The following is a 5,141-nucleotide window of genomic DNA, read 5'->3' as shown; positions in this document are numbered from 1 at the left end:
ATGAATATGTATGAAAAAGTTCCACAGTAAATTTCTCTTAAAATATGACATAAAAAATGTTTGTCTCTCCTGAATACTTATATGCTTCATTTATTAGAAAACTCAGAGCTTACTTTCATACTTCAAAGCAGTATTCTTAACCAAAGTTTTCCAGTACTCTTAACTCCCAATTCAATACTTATTTTTTACCCTTTAATTCATTTTTGAATGATTCTGTCATATTTATATCTACTTAAGCAGCTAAGATCTGCAAAACCTTTCTGGAGTTAGTTGAGGTGTAAAAATAAGTACTTAAGTGTAGCGAGGCTAGATTAGTGATCAAACATAGCCTTCAATTATATTACAAACTTACACCTAGGTATTTCATTTAACTTTTAGTACACTCCTGTCTTAACCTCTTTCGTTCTTCTGTAACAGAATACCTGAAACTGGGTAATTTAGGCTGGAAGGTGTAATGTTAAGGGTTCTGCATCTTAAGAAGGCCTTCTTGCTACATCTTCCATGGTGGAAGTAGAAGGGAAGAGGGCACACAGAACCGAACTCACTTTTATAACAAACCCACTCCTTGCTGACTGCGATGAGCCCTCGAGATCTAATCACCTCTTAAAGGTCCTTCTTCTCAACCCTGATGCATTGGAGATTAAGTTTTCAAAAAATGGGCTTTAGAGAACACATTCAAACTGTAGCATTCATTATAAATGTTACTATAACATGATTAATAATTTTAAAGCAAAAATCTACTAATCATACAACCAAATAAGCCTAATATATCAAATGCAAATATTAAACTTACATGGACTCTAGTAATCATCTAATCATTACACTGGACTGTCTCAAATTGAGTCTATCTCTAGTTTTTTGTAGAGAGTAGAGGAAAGCTTACATCATTTTCATCATGAATGGTTAACATTACAAAACCCACAAAGACATCATCCAGACAAGAGGAAGTTTACTATCAATGAAATTGAATGTGTAGCTCAAACTCTCATTCTATGAAAAATAAAAAACAAACATAACAATACAAGCGGTGGCAAACCAAAAATGATGTTATTTGATGAGTTTACTATAAATTCTAAATAAAAGAAAATGGGAAAAAGCTGATGTAGCAGAGATAAGTATAAACTCAATACTCCTTGTTTTCCTATTACTTGCTTAAAAAGCAAATAAATATCACATTGTGTAACTGTAATGAAAATAAGCAAACATCAAATATTGGGAAAGATTTTTTTTCAAAAAGAAAATCCAAACTGACTTTCAACTATTAATAACTTGAGCTTCCCAATGGGACGGCTTGGTTTTGGATTCCTGCTGTTGTTGTTGTCATTGCTGTTTTTAAAAGATAATGTTATAGGCTTTCTCCATTAAGCAGAACAATCTTGTATGTATTCTCTGTCTTTTCTGGGAAATACTCTACCAAATTCCATTATTGATCATTTTCATTCCCTTAACTGGATAGATTACATTTTTTTCTTTTATTTTGGGTTCTGGGATATGTGTGCAGAATATGCAGGTTTGTTACACAGGTACACATGTGCCATGGTGGTTTGCTGCACCTGTCAACCCATCATCTAGGTTTTAAGCCCCGCATGCATTAGCTATTTGTCCTAATGCTCCCCACAACCCCCAACAGGCCCCAGTGTGTGTTGTTCCCCTCCCTGTGTTCATGTGTTCTCATTGTTCAACTCCCACTTATGAGAACATGCAGTGTTCGGCTTTCTGTTCCTGTGTTAGTTTGCTGAGAATGGTGGTTTCCAGCTTTATCCATGTCCCTGCAGAGGACATGAACTCATTCTTTTTTATGGATTCATAGTGTTCCGTGGTGTATATGTGCCACAATTTCTTTAACCACTCTATCTTTGATGGACATTTGGGTTGGTTCCAAGTCTTTGCTATTGTGAATAGTGCTGCAATAAATGTATGTGTGCATGTATCTTTATAGTAGAATGCCTTATAATCCTTTGGGTATATACCCAGTAATGGGATTGCTGGGTCAAGTGGTATTTCTGGTTCTAGATCCTTGAACAGTCGCCACACTGTCTTCCACAATGGTTGAACTAATTTACACTCCCACCAACAGTGTAAAATCATTCCTATTTCTCCACATCCTCCACAACCTGGCCAGCATGTGTTGTTCCCTGACTTTTTAATAATCGCCATTCTAACTGGCATGAGATGGTATCCCATTGTGGTTTTGATTTGCATTTCTCTAATGACAAGGGATGATTAGCTTTTCTCATATGTTTGTTGGCTACATAAATGTTTTCTTTTGAGAAGTGTCTGTTCATATCCTACATTAAATTTTTTCTGTTTTGTTTTTGTTTTCTATTTTCTCTTATCTTGCTCACTAAAGAATAGTTTTAAAATAATATTAGATGAGGTAATAGCAGTTAACAAATATTGAGTAATAATTACAAGTCAAGCATTCTTCCAAGCACCTTATGTATAATAAATTCATTTAATTTTCAGAACAATCTTATGGGGTAGGTGCTATCATTATCACTGTTGTAGAGATGAAGAAACTAAAGAACAGAGGATTTAAATTATATCCCAAGGCTACCTAGCTAAGGTGTTAAATTTCAAATCCACTTGATAATACAAGAAGACCATGTAGGTTAATTTTCGCTATATGATGAAATGAATATGTAAAATACAAAAATTCAAAGGTTATGTCAATTAAAAAAACACTTTTCAACAATGTTGAATTATTTAACTCAGCACTATCTTCTTTCAAATTACCACTTTCACATAACAATAAATTACACTAAAGTTAAGACACAAGGGGCTTCTATCTTCATGTCTTCAAACAGAATTTGACATTTTGTTTTAAAGACAACATCAGCTGAAAGTTTCTTCTAAGCAGAAGTGAATATGGTAAATTTCATACTATACAGAGTTATGTTCAACATCAGAGAGGTTTAAGAAACCTCCTCAATGTTCCTCAGGGACCAATTTAAAAAATAACCCACTTTGCAAGGATCTCACCCTCAACAAACCCAGTAGCAGCTTTTTCAGTAATCAAATAAATAGAGAAATAAAGTAATTCAAAAATGGGTAGGTACCCTTTATCTGAACAGGAGCAAACAAAGCCTGGCTGAAGACTACCCTCAGTAATACCTCTTCTTCACAGTATGAGCAGCTGATCTCTGAAATAAACTTGCTTGTGAAGATGCTTAAGTTAACCTCTGCAGAACTTCAGAAAGAGATTAGATAAAGCCCATTAGGAATGACGGTGACTCATCCTAGAAAATAAAGAGACCCACAGGAAGAGGTGATTGTGTATACAGGATACAAACACAAAGACAAATAGTGAAAGAAAAGCAAAACATTAAAGATTGAGCAATTCATTTTTTAAAAAGAATTAATAAATTAATTCAATCGTTGCAATCATCTGATAACCTTTGACAAATAATGATAAATGGTTAAGTAAAATAAAGGATTAAAAAAGTAATTTGTGAAAAATCTGACTAAGAAGTAGTATAATATTAAGTGACCGTGATAACTTAAAATGCATACTGTAAACACTAGAATAACCACTAAATAGACTAAAGAGGTGTAACTAATAAGGCAACAGAGAAGGTAAAATGAAGCACTAAAAAATCACTCAATCTGTAAAAAGACAATGAAAGAGGAAAAGAGGGACAAAATAATAGGCAAAACATAGAACAAAAGAAAAAAGAAATAAACCGCAGATTTAAATCCAATAATATAGAAAATTACATTAAATGTAAATGATCTGAATATTTGCATTTGATAATTAATAATTGTCTCTCTTCAGTGACATGATAATAAACATTGAAAATTATAAGAAACCTACAAAAGGAATACTAGTACTAACAAGGTCACAAAATACATAGTAAATATGGAAAATCAATTATGTGCTGTATACTAACAAAGAAAGATGGGAAAATAAAATTTGAAAAAATACATATATTATAATAGCATTCAAAAGTTTAGGGATAAATTTAAGAAAACATGTGCAAGGCCTGTGCACTGAAAGCTACAAAACATTGCTAAGAGAACTTAAAGAGTACCTAAACAGATGAAGAATTATACCTACAAATTGGGTTTGGTGTATACTGCTCAAGAGATGGGTGACTAAAATCTCACAAATCACCACTAAAGAACTTACTCATGTAACCAGATACCACCTGTTCCCCAAAAACCTATGGAAATAAAAAAAGAGATATTGAAGATTGTTAATACGTCAGTTCACAAATTGATATGTAGATTCAATATGATCTTATTCAAAAATCCCAGAAAAAATGTTTTTTAATATTGGGTTTTTTTTTGGTTGCTTTAGTTGTTTTGCTTTTCAGTAGTAATTGAAAGGTAATTCTAAAATTTATATAGAAATGCAATGTACCTAGATTAACCAAGTCCTTTTTGAAAAAGAACAAAGTTGGAGCATTTATATTATCTGACTTCAAGACTTATTATAAAGCTCTGGTAATTGGAGCAATGTAATATTTTATTAAGCATAGACATATAGATCAACAAAAACAGAATAGAGTGTTCATAAATGGATCTATCAATATGTAGCTAATGGATATTCACAAAAGGTCCCAAAATAATTTAACGGTGTAAAGGTAGACTTTTTCAATGACTGGTGGTGCTGAAACAGATGGATATATGAGGGAGCAAAAGGGAGTCTTTATCTTTACATCATACCATACACAAAAATTAAGTGTAAAAAAATGATCATAGAACTAAACATAAAATTTCAACCTAAAAACTTCTAAAAGAAGACCTAAGAGAGATTATTATTGAATATTGGATTAGGCAGATTTCCTAAAACACAAACACACACACAAACCATCAAGGAAATAAAAGCAATAAACTAGTCTTCATCAAATTAAAAACTGGTGTTTTCAAAATACACTGTTAAGTCACTCCATCTTCTAACTTCAGGCTCTAAAAGAGACCTCTTCCCTCTGCTTGAGGAGAGGAGAGGGAGAAGTGGTGAGGACTTTGTCTTGCATTTTGGATACCAGTTCAGTCACAGCCAGATATGGTACCAATCAGAGATGTGAGGCCCCCTTTCCAGGACCTAGTTCCCAGATGGCATTTCCAGACACACCCTGGGCTAGAAGGAAAATTGCTGTCTTGAAAAGAAAACCCCAGTCCAGGCAGGATTTATCACC

The 5,141-nt window shown here is 33.3% G+C and overlaps 1 annotated feature.

Annotated features, from left to right (window-relative positions):
* Nucleotides 4,329-4,498: an enhancer, noted in NCBI's record as "experimental_85570 CRE fragment used in MPRA reporter constructs". NCBI's record gives its function as "activates a minimal promoter by MPRAs in K562 erythroleukemia cells, with activity observed for both the introgressed and non-introgressed 5:43926031 variant alleles {active_cell/tissue: K562}" and the evidence as "EXISTENCE:reporter gene assay evidence [ECO:0000049][PMID:34662402]".

Source organism: Homo sapiens, chromosome 5 (genome assembly GCF_000001405.40).
Source record: "Homo sapiens chromosome 5, GRCh38.p14 Primary Assembly".
NCBI classification, from domain to species: domain Eukaryota; kingdom Metazoa; phylum Chordata; class Mammalia; order Primates; family Hominidae; genus Homo; species Homo sapiens.
Note: the sequence above shows the minus strand (reverse complement) of the source record. Positions and strands in the feature narration are given on the sequence as shown.